This window comes from Homo sapiens, chromosome 13 (genome assembly GCF_000001405.40).
Source record: "Homo sapiens chromosome 13, GRCh38.p14 Primary Assembly".
NCBI classification, from domain to species: Eukaryota; Metazoa; Chordata; class Mammalia; order Primates; family Hominidae; genus Homo; species Homo sapiens.
Genome location: NC_000013.11, coordinates 45361394 through 45384475, shown reverse-complemented (window position 1 = coordinate 45384475; position 23082 = coordinate 45361394). Strand labels below are relative to the sequence as shown.

Here is a 23082-nt window from a genome sequence, read left to right as displayed (position 1 = left end):
AAATTGCTGCATCATGTACTCCTATGCTAGGAAAGAGTTAAAAAAAAATACTTGACGGGTGTTTTAGGAGGTAATATACAGCACATTTTACCATGCTGCCCTGGCCCATTTACGAAGGAATTTGTAAGTCTGCCGGTTTTGAGTGGGGCCCAGAGCAAGAGAAGGGTTGCAGCAAATTCAGACTGTTGTGCAAGATGTTCTGTCATATATGGCACATATGCCTGAAGTGTCCAAGGCAGATAGAGATACTGTATGGAGCCTTCAACCAGCCCTGAAAGGAGAATCACAGTGCAGACCCCTGGCGGTTTGCAGCAAATCCATGTTATCTTTTGCAAATAACTTTTCTCTCTTTGAAAAATAGCTCTTCTTACTGGGTCCTAGCTAAAAACTGGACATTTGATTTTGGGACCTGATCATGAACTGGGTGTGCACCCCTCTTCCCCCTCTGGCTCTTAGGACCACCATCGCAGGAGGGGGAGGCACCCCCCACGAGGCAGGGACTGAGAGCCAGCCCCTCATCACCCCCTGGCTTAGGACCCCCATTGCGGATCCTAAGAACCTTAGGACCCATCTGGAGGACTGTGGGTATTAGGTGTCCAAGAAAAAAGCTCAAATCTGCCGACGGCAGCTACCTTACTTCGGATTTACTCTCCGACAGGGGTCCGAACGCAGCCCGGGAACAGAAAGAAAGCAGGTCATTTGCAATCTACCGGAGCCTAAGGGCAGAAGGCAGGTGAGGGAATTCTTAGGGGCTGTGGGGTTTTGTAGACTGTGCATCCCAAACTTTGCAGTATTAGCCAAGCCTTTGTATGAGGTCACAAAGGGGACGGGGACCGGGAACCTTTGGAATGGGGATCCCAACAACAGCAAGTCTTTCATGAGTTAAAGGAAAAACTTCTGGCAGCCCCAGCCCTGGGGCTACCCGATCTGACAAAGCCTTTTCCATTGAATGCGTCAGATAGAGAAAAGATGGCAGCTGGACTTTTAACCGAAACTCTGGGGCCCTGGATGAGGCCGGTGGCCTACGTCTCTAAACAACTAGAGAGGGTTTCTAAAGGATGGCCCCTCATGTTTGAGGGCCGTGGCATCAACTGCCCTGATAGTACAAGAAGCAAATAAGCTGACTCTTGGGCAAAACCTGAACATAAAGGCCGCCCATTTTGGGTTGGATGACAGCCAACCCCTCTTCCCCCCCTGCCTTAGGACCCCCATCGCGGATCCTAAGATCCTTAGGACCCACCTGGAGGACTGTGGGTATTAGGTCTCCAAGAAGAAAGCTCCAATCTGCCGACGGCAGGTACCTTACTTGGGAGTTACTATCCGACAGGGGTCCGAACGCAGCCCGGGAACAGAAAGAAAGCAGGTCATTTGCAATCTACCGGAGCCTAAGGGCAGAAGGCAGGTGAGGGAATTCTCAGGGGCTGTGGGGTTTTATAGACTGTGCATCCCAAACTTTGCAGTGTTAGCCAAGCCTTTGTATGAGGTCACAAAGGGGGCGGGGACCGGGAACCTTTGGAATGGGGATCCCAAGAACAGAAAGTCTTTCAGGAGTTAAAGGAAAAACTTCTGGCAGCCCCAGCCCTGGGGCTACCCGATCTGGCAAAGGCTTTTCCATTGTATGCGTTAGAGAGAGAAAAGATGGCAGCTGGACTTTTAACCCAAACTGTGGGGCCCTGGCTGAGGCCGGTGGCCTACGTCTCTGAACAACTAGACAGGGTTTCTGAAGGATGGCTCCCCTGTTTGAGGGCCTTGGCAGCAACTGCCCTGCTAGTACAAGAAGCAAATAAGCTGACTCTTGGGCAAAACCTGAACATAAAGGCTCCCCATTTTGTGGTGGCTGAGAGTCAGCCCCTTTTCCCCCGCTGGCTCTTGGGACCCCCATCGCAGGGGCGATGACACCCTCTGCGAGGCACGGACTGAGAGCCAGCCTCTCTTCCGCCCCAGGCTCTTAGGACCCCCATCGCAGGGGGGGAGGCAACCCCCGCGAGGCGGAGACTCAGAGCCAGCCCCTCTTCCCCCTCTGGCTCTTAGGACCACCATCGCAGGAGGGGGAGGCACCCCCCACGAGGCAGGGACTCAGAGGCAGCCCCTCTTCCGCCCCCGGCTCTTAGGACCCCCATCGCAGAGGGGGAGGCACCCCCCACGAGGCGGGGACTGAGAGCCAGCCCCACTTCCCCCTCTGGCTCTTAGGACACCCATCGCAGGGGGGGAGACACCCCCAACGAGGCAGGGACTGAGAGCCAGCCCCTCTTCCCCCCTGGCTCTCAGGGCCCCCATCACAGGGGGGGAGGCACCCCCCGCGAGGCGGGGACTGAGAGCCAGCCCCTCATCCCCCCCGGCTCTCAGGACCCCCATCGCAGGGGAGGGAGGCACCCCCCACGAGGCAGGGACTGAGAGCCAGCCCCTCTTCCCCCTCTGGCTCTTAGGACCACCATCGCAGGAGGGGGAGGCACCCCCCACGAGGCAGGGACTCAGAGGCAGCCCCTGTTCCGCCCCCGGCTCTTAGGACCCCCATCGCAGCGGGGGAGGCACCCCCCACGAGGCGGGGACTGAGAGCCAGCCCCTCTTCTCCCCCTGGCTCTTAGGACAACAATCGCAGGGGGGGGAGGCACCCCCAACGAGGCAGGGACTGAGAGCCAGCCCCTCTTCCCCCCTGGCTCTCAGGACCCCCATCGCAGGGGGGGAGGCACCCCCCACGAGGCGGGGACTGAGAGCCAGCCCCTCTTCCCCCTCTGGCTCTTAGGACCACCATCGCAGGGGGGGGGAGGCACCCCCCGTGAGGCAGGGACTGAGAGCCAGCCCCTCTTCCCCCTCTGGCTCTTAGGACCACCATCGCAGGAGGGGAGGGGGAGGCACCCCCCACGAGGCAGGGACTCAGAGGCAGCCCCTCTTCCGCCCCCGGCTCTTAGGACCCCCATCTCAGGGGGGGAGGCACCCCCTACGAGGCGGGGACTGAGAGCCAGCCCCTCTTCCCCCCCTGGCTCTTAGGACACCAATCGCAGGGGGGAAGGCACCCCTAACGATGCAGGGATTGAGAGCCAGCCCCTCTTCTCCCCCTGGCTCTTAGGACACCAATCGAAGGCGGGGAGACACCCCCAACGAGGCAGGGACTGAGAGCCAGCCCCTCTTGCCCCCTGGCTCTCAGGGCCCCCATCGCAGGGGGGGAGGCACCCCCCGGGAGGCAGGGACTGAGAGCCAGCCCCCCGTCCCCCACAGCTTAGGACCCCCATCAAGGATCCTAAGAACCTTAGGACCCACTTGGAGGACTGTGGGTATTAGGTGTCCAAGAAGAAAGCTCAAATCTGCTGACGGCAGGTACCTTGCTTGGGATTTACTATCCGACAGGGGTCCGAACGCAGCCCGGGAACAGAAAGAAAGCAGGTTATTTACAATCTACCGGAGCCTAAGGGCAGAAGGCAGGTAAGGGAATTCTTGGGAGCTGTGGGGTTTTATAGACTGTGGATCCCAAACTTTGCAGTATTAGCCAAGCCTTTGTATGAGGTCACAAAGGGGGCGGGGACCGGAACCTTTGGAATGGGGATCCCAAGAACAGAAAGTCTTTCAGGAGTTAAAGGAAAAACTTCTGGCAGCCCCAGCCCCGGGGCTACCCGATCTGGCAAAGCCTTTTCCATTGTATGCGTTAGAGAGAGAAAAGATGGCAGCTGGACTTTTAACCCAAACTGTGGGGCCCTGGCTGAGGCCGGTGGCCTACGTCTCTGAACAACTAGACAGGGTTTCTGAAGGATGGCTCCCCTGTTTGAGGGCCTTGGCAGCAACTGCCCTGCTAGTACAAGAAGCAAATCAGCTGACTCTTGGGCAAAACCTGAACATAAAGGCCCCCCATGTTGTGGTGGCTGAGAGTCAGCCCCTTTTCCCCCGCTGGCTCTCGGGACCCCCATCGCAGGGGGGGAGGCACCCCCCGCCAGGCACGGACTGAGAGCCAGCCCCTCTTCCGCCCCAGGCTCTTAGGACCCCCATCGCAGGGGGGGAGGCACCCCCAACGAGGCAGGGACTGAGAGCCAGCCCCTCTTCCCCCCTGGCTCTCAGGGCCCCCATCGCAGGGGGGGAGGCACCCCCACGAGGCGGGGACTGAGAGCCAGCCCCTCATCCTCCCCGGCTCTCAGGACCCCCATCGCAGGGGGGGGAGGCACCCCCCACGAGGCAGGGACTCAGAGGCAGCCCCTCTTCCGCCACCGGCTCTTAGGACCCCCATCGCAGGGGGGGAGGCACCCCCCACGAGGCTGGGACTGAGAGCCAGCCCCTCTTCCCCCCTGGCTCTTAGGACACCCATCGCAGCGGGGGAGGCACCCCCAACGAGGCAGGGACTGAGAGCCAGCCCCTCTTCCCCCCTGGCTCTCAGGGCCCCCATCGCAGGGGGGGGAGGCACCCCCCACGAGGCGGGGACTGAGAGCCAGCCCCCCGTCCCCCACAGCTTAGGACCTCCATCAAGGATCCTAAGAACCTTAGGACCCACCTGGAGGACTGTGGGTATTAGGTGTCCAAGAAGAAAGCTCAAATCTGCTGACGGCAGGTACCTTGCTTGGGATTTACTATCCGACAGGGGTCCGAACGCAGCCCGGGAACAGAAAGAAAGCAGGTTATTTACAATCTACCGGAGCCTAAGGGCAGAAGGCAGGTAAGGGAATTCTTGGGAGCTGTGGGGTTTTGTAGACTGGATCCCAAACTTTGCAGTATTAGCCAAGCCTTTGTATGAGGTCACAAAGGGGGCGGGGAACGGAACCTTTGGAATGGGGATCCCAAGAACAAAAAGTCTTTCAGGAGTTAAAGGAAAAACTTCTGGCAGCCCCAGCCCTGGGGCTACCCGATCTGACAAAGCCTTTTCCATTGAATGCGTCAGATAGAGAAAAGATGGCAGCTGGACTTTTAACCGAAACTCTGGGGCCCTGGCTGAGGCCGGTGGCCTAGTTGTCTAAACAACTAGAGAGGGTTTCTAAAGGATGGCCCCTCATGTTTGAGGGCCGTGGCATCAACTGCCCTGATAGTACAAGAAGCAAATAAGCTGACTCTTGGGCAAAACCTGAACATAAAGGCCGCCCATTTTGGGTTGGGTGACAGCCATCCCCTCTTCCCCCCCTGCCTTAGGACCCCCATCGCGTATCCTAAGATCCTTAGGACTCACCTGGAGGACTGTGGGTATTAGGTGTCCAAGAAGAAAGCTCAAATCTGCCAACGGCAGGTACCTTACTTGGGATTTACTCTCCGACGGGTCGATGCCACCCGGGAACAGAAAGAAAGCAGGTCATTTGCAATCTACCGGAGCCTAAGGGCAGAAGGCAGGTGAGGGAATTCTCAGGGGCTGTGGGGTTTTGTAGACTGTGCATCCCAAACTTTGCAGTATTAGCCAAGTCTTTGTATGAGGTCACAAAGGGGGCAGGGACCGGGAACCTTTGGAATAGGGATCCCAACAACAGCAAGTCTTTCATGAGTTAAAGGAAAAACTTCTGGCAGCCCCAGCCCTGGGGCTACCCGATCTGACAAAGCCTTTTCCGTTGAACGCGTCAGATAGAGAAAAGATGGCAGCTGGACTTTTAACCGAAACTCTGGGGCCCTGGATGAGGCCAATGTCCTACGTCTCTAAACAACTAGAGAGGGTTTCTAAAGGATGGCCCCCCTGTTTGAGGGCCGTGGCATCAACTGCCCTGATAGTACAAGAAGCAAATAAGCTGACTCTTGGGCAAAACCTGAACATAAAGGCCGCCCATTTTGGGTTGGGTGACAGCCATCCCCTCTTCCCCCCCTGCCTTAGGACCCCCATCGCGGATCCTAAGATACTTAGGACTCACCTGGAGGACTGTGGGTATTAGGTGTCCAAGAAGAAAGCTCAAATCTGCCAACGGCAGGTACCTTACTTGGGATTTACTCTCCGACGGGTCCGATGCCGCCCGGGAACAGAAAGAAAGCAGGTCATTTGCAATCTACCGGAGCCTAAGGGCAGAAGGCAGGTGAGGGAATTCTCAGGGGCTGTGGGGTTTTGTAGACTGTTCATCCCAAACTTTGCAGTATTAGCCAAGCCTTTGTATGAGGTCACAAAGGGGGCGTGGACCGGAACCTTTGGAATGGGGAACCCAATAACAGCAAGTCTTTCATGAGTTAAAGGAAAAATGTCTGGCAGCCCCAGCCCTGGGGATACCCGATCTGACAAAGCCTTTTCCATTGTATGCGTTATAGACAGAAAAGATGGCAGCTGGACTTTTAACCCAAACTGTGGGGCCCTGGCTGAGGCCGGTGGCCTACGTCTCTGAACAACTAGACAGGGTTTCTGAAGGATGGCTCCCCTGTTTGAGGGCCTTGGCAGCAACTGCCCTGCTAGTACAAGAAGCAAATCAGCTGACTCTTGGGCAAAACCTGAACATAAAGGCCCCCCATGTTGTGGTGGCTGAGAGTCAGCCCCTTTTCCCCCGCTGGCTCTCGGGACCCCCATCGCAGGGGGGGAGGCACCCCCCGCCAGGCACGGACTGAGAGCCAGCCCCTCTTCCGCCCCAGGCTCTTAGGACCCCCATCGCAGGGGGGGAGGCACCCCCAACGAGGCAGGGACTGAGAGCCAGCCCCTCTTCCCCCCTGGCTCTCAGGGCCCCCATCGCAGGGGGGGAGGCACCCCCCACGAGGCGGGGACTGAGAGCCAGCCCCTCATCCTCCCCGGCTCTCAGGACCCCCATCGCAGGGGGGGGAGGCACCCCCCACGAGGCAGGGACTGAGAGCCAGCCCCTCTTCCCCCTCTGGCTCTTAGGACCACCATCCCAGGAGGCGGAGGCACCCCCCACGAGGCAGGGACGCAGAGGCAGCCCCTATTCTGCCACCGGCTCTTAGGACCCCCATCGCAGAGGGGGAGGCACCCCCCACGAGGTGGGGACTGAGAGCCAGCCCCTCTTCCCCCCCTGGCTCTTAGGTCACCCATCGCAGGGCATGGAGGCACCCCCAATGAGGCAGGTACTGAGAGCCAGCCCCTCTTCCCCCCTGGCTCTCAGGACCCCCATCGCAGGGGGGGAGGCACCCCCAACAAGGCAGGGACTGAGAGCCAGCCCCTCTCCCCCACTGGCTCTCAGGGCCCCCAGCGCAGGAGGGAGAGGCACCCCCCACGAGGCGGGGACTGAGAGCCAGCCCTTCTTACCCCCCTGGCTCTTAGGGCCCCCATCGCAGGGGGGGGGGGCACCCCCAGCAAGGCGGGGACTGAGAGCCAGCCCCTCATCCCCCACTGGCTTAGGACCCCCATGGCGGATCCCAGGAACCTTAAGGACCCACCTGGAGGACTCTGGGTATTAGGTGTCCAAGAAGAAAGCTCAAATCTGCCGACGGCAGGTACCTTACTTGGGATTTACTATCCGACAGCGGTCCAAGACAGGGGTCCAAACGCCCGGGAACAGAAAGAAAGCAGGTCATTTGCAATCTACCGGAGCCTAAGGGCAGAAGGCAGGTGAGGGAATTCTTAGGGGCTGTGGGGTTTTGTAGACTGTGCATCCCAAACTTTGCAGTATTAGCCAAGTCTTTGTATGAGGTCACAAAGGGGGCGGGGACCGGGAACCTTTAGAATGGGGATCCCAACAACAGCAAGTCTTTCATGAGTTAAAGGAAAAACTTCTGGCAGCCCCAGCCCCGGGGCTACCAGATCTGACAAAGCCTTTTCCATTGAATGCGTCAGATAGAGAAAAGATGGCAGCTGGAATTTTAACCGAAACTCTGGGGCCCTGGCTGAGGCCGGTGGCCTACGTGTCTAAACAAATAGAAAGGGTTTCTAAAGGATGGCCCCCATGTTTGAAGGCCACGGCATCAACTGCCCTGCTAGTACCAGAAGCAAATAAGCTGACTCTTGGGCAAAACCTGAACATAAAGGCTCCCCATTTTGTGGTGGCTGAGAGCCAGCCCCTCTTCCGCCCCAGGCTCTTAGGACCCCCATCGCAGGGAGGGGAGGCACCCCCCACGAGGTAGGGACTGAGAGCCAGCCCCTATTCTTGATTTAGCCAATTTAAGTATGTAAAACGGGGGGAAAAATGTGATGACAGCCTAGTTTTAAGGCATTGATTTGATTGTGTTGTAAAAAATACATTCTTCTTTTTCTTTTTTTGAGACGGAGTCTTGCTCTGTCACCCAGGCTGGAGTGCAGTAAGCCCATCTCTGCTCACTGCAAGCTTACACCATTCTCCTGCCTCAGCTTCCCTAGTAGCTGGGACTACAGATGCTTGCCACCATGCCCGGCTAATTTTTTTTGTGTGTGTTTTTAGTAGAGATGGGGTTTCACCATGTTAGCCAGGATGGTCTCGATCTCCTGACCTCGTGATCCACCCGCCTCGGCCTCCCAAAGTGCTGGGATTACAGGCGTGAGCCACCAAGCCTGGCCAAAAAATATATTCTTTCAGAAAGATAACATGTTTGTTCTTTCATTCAGTCAATATATATTTATTAGTGTTATTGCTATGCCAGTGTCTTAGTCCATTCGTATTGCTATAAAGGAATACCTGAGGCTGGGGTGGTGCCATGTTGGTTAGAATGGTGCCATATTTTCTGGGATAGCACCATGCTGGCTGGGATGGTGCCATGTTGGCTGGGATGGCACCTGCCTCAGCCTCCCAAATAGCTGGGATTACAGGCATCTGCCACCATGCCTGGCTAATTTTTTGTATTTTTAGTAGAGAAGGGGTTTTGTCATGTTGGCCAGGCTGGTCTAGAATTCCTGACCTCAGGTGATCCACCCACCTCAGCCTCCCAAAGTGGTGGGATTACAGGCGTGAGCCACCACACCCAGCCCAGATTTCTTTTATCACGCTCCATAGGCTCAATAGCAGGAAACGTGTAGAGATTCCTCTTGGGAACTGGTCACCATATCATTTGGATGAGCTACAGACAGACCTTCAATCATCCTGTATCTTACTGTTTTGCTATCTCTGTACACTGCAGTTATGTGGACATGTGTCACCTCCGCCCCACTATCCAGAAATGTGGGCTCCTATGTGCAGGGCCAGATCTGCTCCCATGTGCATCCTCATCACCTGGCACCAGGCCTGCCCATGCTAAGCCTCCATAAAATTGTTGGACTAAAAGGTGACATAGGATACTCAACTTCTCCCAGCCATATGTCTTCATGAACCAAATGGCAGTGCAGAAAGGGAATGTTTGCAGTTTCAGTGGGCCTTTCTGAGGGCACTGCAGGGCACACTTCTCCCACCAGGCCCTTGGTGGAGGTGCAGAATGGGGTCTCTTCAGAAGCCACTTCCAGAGCCCCTACCAAGGGTGGCTCAGAAGGTCTGGTTTTCAATGAGTCCACTAGGGAAGTCCATGTGTGACTGATTCGACCTCGATGCTTCTACTTCGCCTTCTTTCCATCTGACTGACTCAGACCTAATAGTAGGGTTCTAGGCTGCTCCATGAGCCAAATAAATTTTCTGCTCTTATAAATGACTCAGTCTGTGGTCTTCTGTTATAGTAGCACAAAACAGACTAAGACACCATTCCAGAGATATGCAAATATTCAACTGTAGGTCTCCAAAAATGAGATGGCAATTTCAAGTTCAGCTCTGACAGAAGTAACAAGAAGGTACACACAATGAGCAGCACACACATCTCCCACCTTCTGGGCACATGTGGCCCACATCTAGCCAGTCTTCCTGAGCCAGCGGGTCCCAAAGCTGTCTTTGGATCATTGCTTCTCCATGACAATTTTTGCCAGCTCTTCACTGGCCTGCAGCGTTCCTTTCAAGTAAATTCCTGACCTGTGGGGGACAATCTGGGCCCAGCGTGCACCCCTGGTCGCGAGGACCACATGGCCAGAGAAGCAGAAAGGAGGCTTCAGGCACGAGAATTTAGGTTCTTCAGCTGCCACAAGTGAAGAGCACCACTTGTATTTTTTATTACTACCTGCTATGGACTGAATTGTGTTCAGTTCATAACACGTAGTAATAAAAATGTGTAGGTCGAAGCCCTAATCCCCAGTATGATGGTATTTGGAGTTGCAGGGCGGGGGGCTTTGGGAAGTGATTAAGGATAAGGTCAAGAGAGTGGGGTCCTCATGATGGGATTAGTGGCTTTATACCAAGAGGAAGAGAGACCAGAGTTCTCTCTCTCCCTTCCCCGCCCTCCCCCCACCTCTTTCTCTTTCTCTCTCTGCAATGTGAGGACATAGCAAGAAGGTGCCATCTGCAAGACAAGCAGAGAGCATCCTCCCCAGAAACCATGTCTGCTGCACCTTGATCCTCAATTTTCCAGTAAGAAATAAATGTCTGGGCTGGGCGTGGTGGCTTACGCCTGTAATCCCAGCACTTTGGGAGGCCGAGGCAGGCAGACCTCCTGAGGTCATGAGTTCGAGACCAGCCTGGCCAACATGGCGAAACCCTGTCTCTACTAAAAATACAAAAATTAGCCAGGCATGGTGGCAGGTGTCTGCAATCCCAGCTACTTAGGAGGCTGAGGCAGAAGAATCACTTGAACCCGGGATGCGGAGGTTGCAGTGAGCTGAGATGGCACCACTGCACTCCAGCCTGGGAAACAAAGTGAGACACTGTATCAAAAAAAAAAAAAAAAAAAAAAAAAATACAGGAAACTCACCCAGTGCCATTCCCTTCCTTCAAGTATTGACTCCTTTCTGAGATTCTGGCTTTTGATCTCCCTTAGTGACTTCAGGTAATTTTTCTGCACTCCAGAGTTTAGAGTTGTTATCTACAGGAGGTCATTCTGATAGGTTACCTGGCTACCACTGGAAGTGGTCCCTGTTGAGGATATTATGAGTAGACCAGCTGATTGCTCATCATTCACCTCCCTCACTTTCTTCCAGCCTCCCAGGAAGTTCATTCTCTCGCTATGAAAACAGAACTTGTCTACCTGAGAAGCCCCGTCCAAGCAGTGGTCATGCAGCTCACATGTCAATACAATTTAATAAATTAAGGGACCAGTTTGCTAAGTGGCCCAATCTTGAATTCCACCACTCTGAAGTGCTAAGGATTAAGATTCCAGAGGGATGAAAACAGAGCCAACAGGCCTGTGTTAGGCCCAGTTCTTCCAGGAACCAGCAGTGTGACCTTAAACAAGTCACTGACCTTCTCTAAGCCAGCAACATAGAAGGAGACTATCATACCCGCCACACCCCACCTGCCTCATGGGTTGATTACAAAGATCAAATGAGGTAACATATACGAAGCGTTTCGTAGACTGTGTCTGACATTGTGATTCTACTGTGACTTCCTGAAGTTTAAAGACAGAATTCTAGTCCCCAGGGCTTGACACCGTAGTAGGAGCTTATGTACACAGAAGAATGAAGGGAATGAGTCTGTCCAGATTCTTTTCCATACAGTGTCTAGTAAGATGTGTAAGAGAAATGGTCACTCAACTAAGTCCCAAAGGGAAGAGGGTCTGCTTTTCTTCCTTTTAGAACCCAAAGCTGAAGTCATCTGTTTGTAAAATGCAGAATGAAATACAATCCTAATTAAGTTGTGTCACAAGACATGCTGCTCAGGAGCCCTCTGCCCCTTGGGAAGCCATCCAAAGGAAACACGAGCCCAAGGTGACTGGGAAGGCCAGATGGTGTCACTTAATACAAAGGAGAAGGAAACTAGGCACGAACTACTGATAGACAGTTACTCTACAGGGAACTGGGTTTTAATTTCAATGGAAATAGAGCCCTGAGAACTCACAGGGAAAGCAAAGGGCATGGAGCGGGAAAGCGGAGGGGCACGGGTGCGGGAAAGCGGGGGGCATGGATACGGGAAAACGAGGGGCATGGATACGGGAAAACGAGGGGCATGGATGCGGGAAAACGAGGAGCATGGATGCGGGAAAGCGAGGGGCATGGATTCAGGAAATCGCGTGGCATGGATGCAGGAAAGCAAGGAGCAGGGCTGGAAGGAAATTGAGATGGGGGCCATCATTCAGTGTGCTCTGGCTTAGTGCCTCCTGTGTGAAATGAGTTAAATGGCACCCATCTCTTAAAGTTATGCAACTATTTTCCATATCCCCCCATCCCTCAGACCTCTCTGCCTCTGTGACATTTGTCCCGAGGACAGGGAAAGTAGCTCCCTGTGTTCGTATGGCCTGGGCAGGGCCTTACAGCAGCTTGACCAACCTGCAGCTGCTCTCCCTCTCTCTCCAGATGCAGCCCTTCCCGTTGGTGCTGGCTTTAGTTCCTGCTTTCTCTCTCCACGGGCTAAGAAGCCGGCTCCCTCTCTGCCCCGCACATGCTACTGGCCTCTCTTTCATGGCGTTCCCTCCTTCCAGTTCTCTGAACACACCAAACTCCCTCCTTGGGGTTTTTGATGGCTTGCTTTCTCCTCAGCCCAGTAAGTTCTTCTCACCTGGAGGTGCAGTCAGCGCTTTTTCATTGTCCAGATCACTGCTCAAATGTCATCTCCCTGGAGAGGACTTCTTGGACCCACCAGCCTCAGCTCCCTCTTGCCAGCCACTTTCTATCACATTCCTGCATTCTGGCTTCCTCAAAGCTCTTATCTCTATGGGAAATTATCTTGCTTATTTGTGTGGTTGTGATTGTCAGCATCTCTTCATCAGAATGCATGTTTGCTCATTGCTGTATCCCCTGTGCCTAAGACCCTAGGATCACAGGCCACTATAAAATGATGGTCATTCATTTAGCCAAAGTGATAATTCCAAAATTTCTTTCTTTCTTTTCTTTTTTTTTTTTTTTTTTTTGAGACGGGATCTAGCCCTGCAGCCTCTGCCTCCCAGGCTCAAGCTATTCTCGTGTCTTGGCCTCCCGAGTAGCTGGGATTACAGGTGCATGCCACATGCCTGGCTAATTTCTGTATTTTTAGTAGAGACAGAGTTTCACCATGTTGGCCAGGCTGGTCTCGAATTCCTGGCCTCAGGTGATCCTCCCACCTCAGCCTCCCAAAATGCTGGGTTACAGGCCTGAGCCACAGGGCCTGGCCTAGCCCTATCTTTACCATTAGCTCCATTTTACAAGTTGTCATGGGGGGTAGTACACAGAAGGATCGCGCAGCTAAAAAGCAACAGGGTTGGGAGTGGAAACCAGGTTTGTGTCCTCCTCTCTCCTTCGGCTCCCTAGTCGCCTTGGGGAGTTCCCACCAATGGGGCCCAAACCTGATCATCAAAATCAACAGGAAACATCTTCAAGAGGGTCCAGGGCCCGCCCAATTCCCATGGAACCAGAATCTTTGAGAGTGCCGCCCAGAAATCCGTGTTTTTCAAAAGCTCTCCAGATCCCAGTACTCAGCGGGAACTTGGAAACCATTCACTTTACCGGGGTATGAAGCCACCCAGCAGCTGGAAAGCGTCCTAGGAATGCGCTGATGGTTCTGACTGCGGTCATTGGGAATATCATTCCGCTCTCCCCTGCCCGGCGGCTGGAGCGGCGTGTTCGCAGCGCCCTCTGCCGGACATTCGGCGAAACCGTAACTGCAGCAACCCCCTTGGCGGGGTGTGTAGGGGCGTCAAGCCGCGCTCATCAGCCCCCTTTGCAATACAGCTCCCTACTGCTAAGTGGAGGTGAGTAGTAAATAATACTCGCTGACTGAGAAAGTGCAAGGTCATCCGATTTTATTAATAGGCCGGGCGCGGTGGCTCACGCCCGTAATCCCAGCACTTTGGGAAGCCGACGCGAGAGGATCCCTGTAGCCCAAGAGTTTGAAACCAACAAGATAGTGAGATACCGTCTCGATCTTGCAGATAAACATTTTTAAAAAAAGAAGAAAAAAAAAAAAGGCCGGGCGCGGTGGCTCACGCCTGTAATCCCAGCACTTTAGGAGACCGAGGCGGGTGGATCACTTGAGGTCAGGAGTTTGAGACCAGCCTGGGCAACAGGGCAAAACCCAGTCTCTACTAAAAATACAAAAAATTAGCCGGGCCTGGTGTCAGGTGCCTGTAATCCCAGCTACTCGGGAGGCTGAGGCAGGAGAATCGCTTGAACCTGGGAGGCAGAGGTTGCAGCGAGCCGAGATCGTGCCATTGCACTCCAGCCTGGGCAACAGAATCAGACTGGCTCAAAAAAAAAAATTAAATTCTATTAAAGAACAAACAAATTTTTACTTCTAATTAGAACACTCCATTCTAGCAAAACACACATAGGTTAAAAAGATGGGTACATACATGGTTTATCCAGTAGCTTTGGCCACCGCTAGGTAGAGAGTTGCATCCTCAGGAGTTTCCCACACTTCATTTATTCGTTTACTCATTCTTTTTCCCCCCAACAACTATTTATTTCATGCTTAGTAAATACCATGCACTCTTATGGCAGAGAACCAAAACAAAAAATTCTCCCCTCCTGAAGTGTATCGCCTAGTGATGGAGACACGTAGTAAACAGATAAATATCTACTTACAATTGGAGGCCAGTGCTCTGAAGGAAAACAGCCAGGTTTTGAGAGCTCTATTTTAGGAAGATGGGCAAGGATAGCCTCCTTGGAGCTGACCTGAAGTGAAGATCTGAAATTGACATGGAATGAGCCAGGCAAAGCAGAGAGGGATTCCAAGTGGCTTCATGAGTTCTCAGATGAGGGACTGGGAGGAAGCCGGTGTGCGGTGCTCAGGAGTGGCGGGGTGTAAACTGTGGTGAGGTTAAGGAAGCAGGAGTTAACAATAAGCACCTGGGCCGGGCGCGGTGTCTCACGCCTGTAATCCCAGCACTTTGGGAGGCCAAGGCAGGTAGGTCACTTGAGTTTAGGAGCTGGAGACCAGCCTGGGCAACATGGCAAAACCCCGTCTCTACAAACAGTACAAAAATTAGCCGAGTATGGTGGTGTCACCTGTAGTCCCACCTACTTGGGAGGCTGAGGTGGGAGGATTGCTTGAGACTGGGAGGCAGAGGCTAGAGTGAGCCATGATTGGGCCACTGCACTCCAGCCTGAGTATCGCTCAGAGTGAGATCCTGTCATGGCGGGGAAAAAAAAGGAAGAAAAAGATTTAAACCCAGGCAATCCACATCAGCAGCCATTCTCATACCTATCCACTCCTCACTGCCTTCTAGGCATTGCTGAATTTGAGCTTTATTTTAAGTACAATGAGATATTTGTAAGCTTTTAAGTGGGACTCTGCATGATCTTTTATGTTTTAACAAGATGGTGCTAGATGATTACAGACTTTAGGGAGGAAGAGTAGAAGGGTGAGACAGCAGGCTGAGACAAGGAGGAGAGGTGCAGAGGTGGGAGACAGTGCAAGGATTTAAAACAAGTGACAGGACTGGTGACAGATCAGGTGAGGTGGTGTTGGAAAGGAAGGTGTCAAAGAAGGCACTTAGCTCAGGAAACTGGGTGGTACCATTGGCTGAGATGGAGCAGAGTGCAAGTTTAGGAGAGTCAGTAGAATTCAGATGTGCATACGTTGAGTTAAATGAGATGCCGGTGATACGGCTAAAACCAAAACCAAGGAGGCTGTTGGATAAATCACCGGCATTTCAAACTTAAGGTGTATAAAGGTGAATTCTTCATTTACCTTATTCTGAAATTCAGAGACGTCCAGGCTAGAAATGGAAATTTTTTTTTTTAAGCATTATGAGTGCTATTTAAGTCACTTACGGATGATGCTATCTAGGGAGAACACATAAACACAGAAGAGTTCCAAGAATCAAACCCTAAGGAACTCCAACATTTGGAGGGTGGATCCAGAAAGAGAAGGCAGGAGAGAGGAGAGAAAGCCAGTGCCTGAGGGGAGCCAGGAAGGACTCACAAGACAAACACAGCCTAGAACTGTGCTTACATTGTGCTTGGAAAAAGAAATAGACACCAGATCCCTGCTTCCTGTTTCCTTATGTGAACCCAAAGTATCCGAGACAGGTCTCAACCAATTTAGAAAGTTTATTTTGCCAAGGTTGAGGACACACGCCCGTGACACAGCCTCAGGAAGTCCTGACCACATGTGTCCAAGGTGGTCAGGGCACAGCTTGGTTTTATACATTTTAGGGAGACATGAGACATCAATCAATATGTGTAAGATGTACATTGGTTTGGTCCAGGAAGGCGAGACAACTCGAGGTGAGGGACGGGGCTTCCAGGTCACAGGTGGATAAGAGACAAACAGTTGCATTCTGTTGAGTTTCTGATTAGCCCTTCCTTGTGGAATTAGGTATTTCCTTGTGGGCAAATTATGAGCAAGGTGTGTAGCTTTTTTTTTTTTTTAATCTTTGTAGCTCTCTTATTTAGGAAATAAAATGGGGGGCAGGTTTGCCTGAAAGTTCTCAGCTTGACTCCTTGGCTTAGTGATTTTGGGTTCCTTGGAAAATGATTTATTTTCCATTCACACTTGTGGCAGGAAGTGGCCCAGACTCATGGAGTTTCAGTGTCAAAGTCTAGGCTGGTATAGAGGGAGCCCATGTGCTTGTCTAAGTTTATTCATTTGTCTACACTAGCAGGTGACGGGTGGCTGGGCACAGTGGCTCATGCCTGTAATCCCAGAACTTTGGGAGGCCGAGGTGGGTGGATCACTTGAGGTCAGGAGTTCAAGACCAGCCTAGCCAAGATAGTGAAACCCTGTCTCTACTAAAAATACAAAAAATACGGCCGGGCACGGTGGCTCACACCTGTAATCCCAGTACTTTGGGAGGCTGAGGCAGGTGGATCACGAGATCAGGAGATCGAGACCATCCTGGCTAACATGGTGAAACCCCATCTCTACTAAATACACAAAAAAATTAGCTGGGCGTCATGGCAGGCACCTGTAGTCCCAGCTACTCAGGAAGCTGAGGCAGAGAATTGCTTGAATCCAGGTGGTGGAGGTTGCAGTGAGCCTAGATCATGCCACTGCACTGCAGCCTGGGTGACAGAGCAAGACTCCATCTCAAAACAAAAACAAAAACAAAAAATTAGCCAGGTATGGTGGCACATGCCTTTAGTCCCAGCTACTGGAGAGGCTGATGTGAAAGGATCACCTGAGCCTTCATCACTGCAGTGAGCTGTGATGACTGAACAGGGTGAGTCAGCTCGGGGGCAGGTGCCCACAAGCCTTTGAGAGAGGGAGTCCACTCTGAGGATGGGTGGGTGGGGCTCAGGCATTGTTAGTCATATTCTTGTTCTCATTTCCTGTTTTTTTTTTTTAATCTCTCTCTGCCACTTCCTTTGATTACACCCATTTCTCCTCTTTCTACCTTACTATCTTCCCCCGCCAGAAAGCTAATTATGATTTCAGCAATCATTTGTCCCCATAATCCCATGATAATAAAATGTCCTTGTCCTCATCAATTACTATGCTGATTTATTTATTTTTTTTTTTTTTTGAGACAGTCTCCCTCTGTTGCCCAGGCTGGAGTGCAGTGGTGTGATCTCGGCTCCCTGAAACCTCTGCCTCCCAGGTTCAAGCGATTCTCCTGCCTCAGACTCCTGAGTAGCTGGGATTACAGGCACGTGCCACCATGCCCAGCTAATTTTTGTATTTTTAGTAGAGACCAGGTTTGACCATGTTGGTCAGGCTGGTCTCGAACTCTTGACCTCGTGATCCGCACACCTTGGCCTCCCAGAGTGCTGGGATTACAGGCGTGAGCCACTGCTCCCGGCCAAATTTTTTTCCTTCACATCTCTTTTGAATGCTTGAAAATTGCTGCCAGATATTTTTGTTTGTTTGTTTATTTATTTTGAGGCAGAGTCTTGCTGTGTCGCCCAGGCTGGAGTGCAGTGGTGCAATGTTGGCTCACCGCAACCTTCGCCTCCTGGGTTCGAGCGATTCTCCTGCCTCAGCCTCCCAAGTAGCTGTGATTACAGGCGCCCACCACCACGCCAGTCTTTTTGTATTTTTAGTATAGACGGGGTTTCACCATGTTGGCCAGGCTCATCTTGAACTCCTGGCCTACCAAAGTGCTGGTATTACAGGCATGAGCCACCACGCCTGGCCTGTTTGAGACAGAGTCTCGCTCTGTCGCCCAGGCTGGAGTGCAGTGGCATGATCTTGGCTCACTGCAACCTCCACCTCCTGGGTTCAAGCGATTCTCCTGCTTCAGCCTCCCAAGTAGCTGGTACTACAGGCGCCCACCACCATGCCTGGCTAATTTTTGTATTTTTAGTAGAGACAGGGTTTCACCATCTTGGCCAGGCTGGTCTCGAACTCCTGACCTCAGGTGATCCACCTGCTTCGGCCTCCCAAAGTGCTGGGATTACAGGCGTGAGCCACCATGTTTGTTTTTTGAGATGGAGTCTCACTCTGTAGCCCAGGCTGGAGTGCAGTGGCACGATCTCGGCTCACTGCAACCTCCGCCTCCTGGGTTCAAGCGATTCTTCTACCTTAGCCTCCTGAGTAGCTGGAATTACAGGCACATGCCCCCACACCCAGCTAATTTTTGTATTTTTAGTAAAGGATGGGGTTTCACCATGTTGGCCAGGCTGGTCTCAAACTCCTGACCTCCAGTGATCCACCTGCCTCAGCCTCCCAAAGTGCTGGGATTACAGGGGTGAGCCACCGTGTCTGGCCTACTGCTGGATATGTTTTATTTTTTGTTTTTGTTTTTGTTTTTTGAGATGGAGTTTTGCTCTTGTTGCCAAGGCTGGAGTGCAATGGCGTGATCTTGGCTCACTGCAACCTCTGCCTCCCAGGTTCAAGCAATTCTCCCGCCTCAGCCTCCCGAGTAGCTGGGATTACAGGCATGTGCCACCATGCCCGGCTAATTTTGTATTTTTAGTAGAGACGGGGTTTCTCCATGTTGGTCAGGCTGGTCTCAAACTCCCGACCTCAGGTAATCCACCCTCCTCGGACTCCCATAGTGTTGGGATTACAGGCGTGAGCCACCATGCCAGGCCCGGATATGTTTAAGAGGATTTTGTCTCCATGGTGGGGAGAAGGGAAAGATGAATCCCCACCCTAAGGCCTAACAGTAGTTCAGGGAGGTACAATTCTATGCAGAATGGTCTCCAGTGTCTAGCCTGACAGGCCAGAAATACAGGTAGCTGACTCATTGGGGAAGTTCTACCATTTAAAAGAAACTATCCTTTTCCTAATTATAAATGTATATTTTGTAGTAGAATTGGATTCCTGAAACTTTAATGAACTTGTGGATCCCTGGGGGGCCTCGTGAGGTGGCAGTATCTGACTTGGGAGGGCTGTGGTGGGGTTGGGATGCCGCATTTCTAACAAGCTCTCTGGTGGTGCTGAGATCACTGGCAGACAAACCACACTGGGGACTATCAAAGACTTAGCAAACAAACAAAAAATAGCTAGGATTACAAAAGCCAGCTGTAAATTTGCCTTCTCAAAAGGGACACTGCTTTCCATTCCTCTCTCCACGCCGGACTAGGTCAGGGCTCCGGGCTTCCCTCTCCAACGTCACCCACAGCATCGAGAGAGGGAACAGATGGAGATGAGGATGTAGAGTTGCTGGGGAGGCCAGAGGTTTGGAATGAGTGAATATGGGGTGGGGAGAGGTGGCCAGGGAAGGAGAAAATCAGAAAGGAGTCTCGTCCTGCTGCTGCCTGAGATAACTGATGATTTGCCTCCTCGCCTGAGATGAGTCAGGCGCAGGGATCTGCAGGATGAAAGGGAGAATTGGGGCAAGAGCTCTGAGTGGGTGAGAAGCTGAGAAAACAGGTGAGGTGGACCAGACCCAGAAATCCACTTCTCCACCCTCCCCTCCAAGCCTAAGTCTGGAGAATGATAATCCAAGGGATGCCCCCTGCCAACCCCCCATCATCTCTCAGTGCTCTCCCTGGAAGGATGAAGAGAAAGCCCTGAGCTTGCTTCTAGGGTGGGAAGCCTTGGTGCCTGGGACTTTCCACTCTAGCGTGTGTACGAGGCCATTCTTCCATTGCTATACAAAAAAAAAAAAAAAAACCGGCTGGGCACGGTGGCTCATACCTGTAATCCCAGTACTTTGGGACGCCGAGGCAGGCGGATCACCCGAGGTCAGGAGTTCGAGACCAGCCTGACCAACATGGAGAAACCCGTCTCTACTGAAAATACGTAATTACCCAGGTGTGGTGGTGTACGCCTGTAATCCCAACTACTCGGGAGGCTGAGGCAAGAGAATTACTTGAACCCGGGAGGCAGAGGTTGCAGTGAGCCAAGATCACGCCATTGCACTCCAGCCTGGGAAACAAGAGTGAAACTCCATCTCAAAAAAAAAAAAAAAAAACCTGAGACTGGGTAATTTATAAAGAAAAGAGATTTAATTGGCTCATGGTTCTACAGGCTGTACAGGAAGCATGGTGCTGGCATCTGCTCAGCTTCTGATGAAGACTCAAGGATCTTTCAATCATGGCAGAAGGCGAAGTGGGAGCAGGCATTTCACATGGAGAAAGCAGGAGCAGGGAGGGGGAGAGGTGTCACATACTTTTACATGACCAGATTTTTTAATAACTTGCTTATTTTCGCAAAGAGAGCATATGCGGGGCACTAACACTGCCCCCCTGGTCCAAACACCTCCCACCAGGCCCCACCTCTAGCACCCACTATTACATTCTGACAGGAGATTTAGGCGCAGACAAATATCCAGACTATATCGGGGGTAACCCCCTCCCACCACAACCCACACCGCCATGACCATGTCACAAAAACAACAAACCATACAGAAGAGCCAAGTGGAAAGATCAGGGTAAAAAATATAATATTGACATACAGAACAGAATTAATGGAATAAATTGACACGGTCAAGAAAAGAATTAGTGAAAATGAAAGATCAACTTGAGAAATTCTGATAGGAAAGAAAGGATAAAAAAAAAACAAGGAAAATAACTTAAAAAGTTAGAATCATGGAGGACAGAAACAGAAATGTTAATATCCAGGTAATAGGAGTTGCAGAAGGAAGGGGAAAATATGGAAGGGAGGTGATATTTGAAGACAGAATGGAGATTAATTTCCCAGAATTAAAGAGAGATGAAAGACCTCAGACTGAGAGAACCCACAGAGGCCACAGGAGAGAGATGAGGAAAATCTGACATCTACACATACTATTGTGAATCCAAAAATATCAAAGTCCTTAAAGTTTTCAGAGAAAAGGAGCAGATCATTGACAAAGACACCCCACTACACACACACAGCTTACTAAGTGAACATATATCAGAGGGTCCTTACACAGATGGGGGCAGGGAGAGAGGACAGCAGTGGGTGGGAGGGCTGAGGGGGGCTCCCAAGGAACGCCTGCTTGCTGGCACCACGAGCAGACCCCAGGATACAGCAGTATCCTGGGAAGGGCCGTATGGAGTGGAAGGGCCACCTCCTTACAGACCAAGACTGCACTCTTGGCTATTCCTGACATCAGTACCTCCTGGGAAGGGTGAATACTTATCTTTTTTAAGTTAGCCAGTGCCCATGTGGAAATGTCTCAGAGGCTGCTGGCTGCTCAGACAAGGCCCTCACTGAGGGTTACCACTGACAGGAAGCTGGTCCTCAGCTTTGCAAGTCAGGGCCCTGAAAGAGGATCCACCTCTGGGTGATTGGCACTTACTCGGGAGGAGCTGGGGATGGGCCTGCCTCTGGAGAGCCCCCTCTGCTGGTGGCCTTTTACCCCCAGCCACTAGCCTTCCTTTTACCACCAGCCACTAGCCTTTGCTGATTGGGGTGGAGACAGGGAGGATGGAAAATGAACACTTGACCCAAGTGAAGTGGGTTTCCCCTTCCTGGGGCACTGAGAGTTGAACCCGTGGACTGCTTTGAGCTGAGCAGAGCATGAGAAATGGGACCAAGATGGCGCCATGGCAAACCAAACACTGAGGAAGCCAATAAACAGAAAGGACAGTGGAGCAGATTCATGAAGGGAAAAATGAAGAGTTCCTCTAGCTCCCAAGACAGAGAGAGAGCATCCTCGGATTCTGAGGATTCTCTGCTTCGCTCATTCATCAGGAAAGAGATTTCCTCATCACGTACCATGTGCTAGGCACTATTCTAGACTCTGAAAATGCAGCACGGAACCAGGCAGCCAGAACCTCTGCCCTGTCAGAGCTCACCTTCTAGTGGAGGCAGAAAAGAGATAAATATACAAGCAGACCCACAAGAGCATGACAGCCTGTTCTAGCAGGGGCCATGGAGCAGCCATTGCAAAGGGTGGTCAGAGAAGCCTCTCTGAAAAGGGAGGAGATGGATGGACTCTGGAGCAGCAGGAATGGAAACAGGAAGCGCTGTTAGTGAGGACAGAGGTCCAGGGAGCAGTGGTGACGACTTCATCAGAACGTTCAGTCAAGACGGCAAGAAAGGGATGGATTTTCAATACGTGTGAATGGTCTGAATGACAGGACTTGCTGAAAGCTCAAACGCGGAGGCAAGAAAGAGGGTCTATTCAAGGATGACTCCTAGGTTTGAAGCCTATGCAACCAGGAGGAATATAACGCATTTACTGAGATGGCGAAGTTTGGAGCAGGGGAGAGGATCAAGAGTTGAATTTTGAGATGACTGTTTGACATCCAAGAAGGGACATCAAGCAGGCAAATAAGTATATGACTCTAGAGCACTTGGAAGAAATCAGGGCTGGAGGTGGGAATCTGGGCATCACCAACACATTGACTCATACTGAAAACTTAGGGCCAGATGATGTCATCTAGGAAGGGTGTGGCATAGAAGACTCCCCACACAGAGGTCTGGGGCATTTCAATGCACCTGGAGTAGAGCAGGCAGAAGAGTCTGAGAGGAGAGGCCAGCGAGGGAGGAGGGAAACCAGAGGATGTATTTCCAAAGGAAGAAGAAAGTGTCCATCCTGGCTAACACAGTGAAAACCCGTCTCTAGTAAAAATGCAAAAAAAAAATTAGCTGGGCGTGGTGGCAGACGCCGGTAGTCCCAGATACTCAGGAGGCTGAGGCAGGAGAATGTCGTGAACCCGGGAGGCGGGGCTCGAGATAGCGCCACTGCACTCCAGCCTGGGCGAAAGAGCAAGACTCCGCCTCAAAAAAAAAGAAGAAAAAAGTGCCTCAAGCAAAAGGGTGTGGGCTGGGGCGGTGCTCATGCCTGTAATCCTTACACTTTGGGAGGCCAAGGCCAGCAGATCGCTTGAGGCCAGGAGTTTGAGACTAGCCTGACCAACATGGCAAAACCTCATCTCTACTAAAAATATAAAAATTAGCTAGGCATGGTGGTGTGCACCTGTAATCCCACCTACTCTGGAGGCTGAGACAGGAGAACTGCATGAACCCAGGAGGCGAAGGTTGCGATGAGCCAAGATTACGCCATTGCACTCCAGCCTGGGGGACAAGAGCGAAACTCCCTCTCAAA

At 52.1% G+C, this 23082-nt stretch overlaps 1 long non-coding RNA gene across 1 annotated transcript in view, besides 3 other annotated features; it reads right to left on the bottom strand.

Moving 5' to 3' along the window:
* Window positions 1-23082, bottom strand: part of TPT1-AS1 (TPT1 antisense RNA 1) — a 50139-nt gene that overhangs the window by 7008 nt on the left and 20049 nt on the right. Inside the window, exons 4-9 of the long non-coding RNA NR_024458.1 lie at window positions 14294-14396; window positions 7261-7415; window positions 5805-5946; window positions 5141-5281; window positions 4475-4550; window positions 1241-1385 (exon numbers count right to left, since the gene is read on the bottom strand). This is a non-coding gene — a long non-coding RNA (TPT1 antisense RNA 1). The remainder of the gene's footprint in view (window positions 1-1240; window positions 1386-4474; window positions 4551-5140; window positions 5282-5804; window positions 5947-7260; window positions 7416-14293; window positions 14397-23082) is intronic.
* Window positions 12946-13446: an enhancer, noted in NCBI's record as "NANOG-H3K4me1 hESC enhancer chr13:45945165-45945665 (GRCh37/hg19 assembly coordinates)". NCBI's record gives its function as "activates a minimal SCP1, AML or CMV promoter by ChIP-STARR-seq in naive H9 embryonic stem cells {active_cell/tissue: H9 hESC(naive)}" and the evidence as "EXISTENCE:reporter gene assay evidence [ECO:0000049][PMID:30033119]".
* Window positions 13447-13947: an enhancer, noted in NCBI's record as "NANOG-H3K4me1 hESC enhancer chr13:45944664-45945164 (GRCh37/hg19 assembly coordinates)". NCBI's record gives its function as "activates a minimal SCP1, AML or CMV promoter by ChIP-STARR-seq in naive H9 embryonic stem cells {active_cell/tissue: H9 hESC(naive)}" and the evidence as "EXISTENCE:reporter gene assay evidence [ECO:0000049][PMID:30033119]".
* Window positions 16497-17003: an enhancer, noted in NCBI's record as "H3K27ac hESC enhancer chr13:45941608-45942114 (GRCh37/hg19 assembly coordinates)". NCBI's record gives its function as "activates a minimal SCP1, AML or CMV promoter by ChIP-STARR-seq in naive H9 embryonic stem cells {active_cell/tissue: H9 hESC(naive)}" and the evidence as "EXISTENCE:reporter gene assay evidence [ECO:0000049][PMID:30033119]".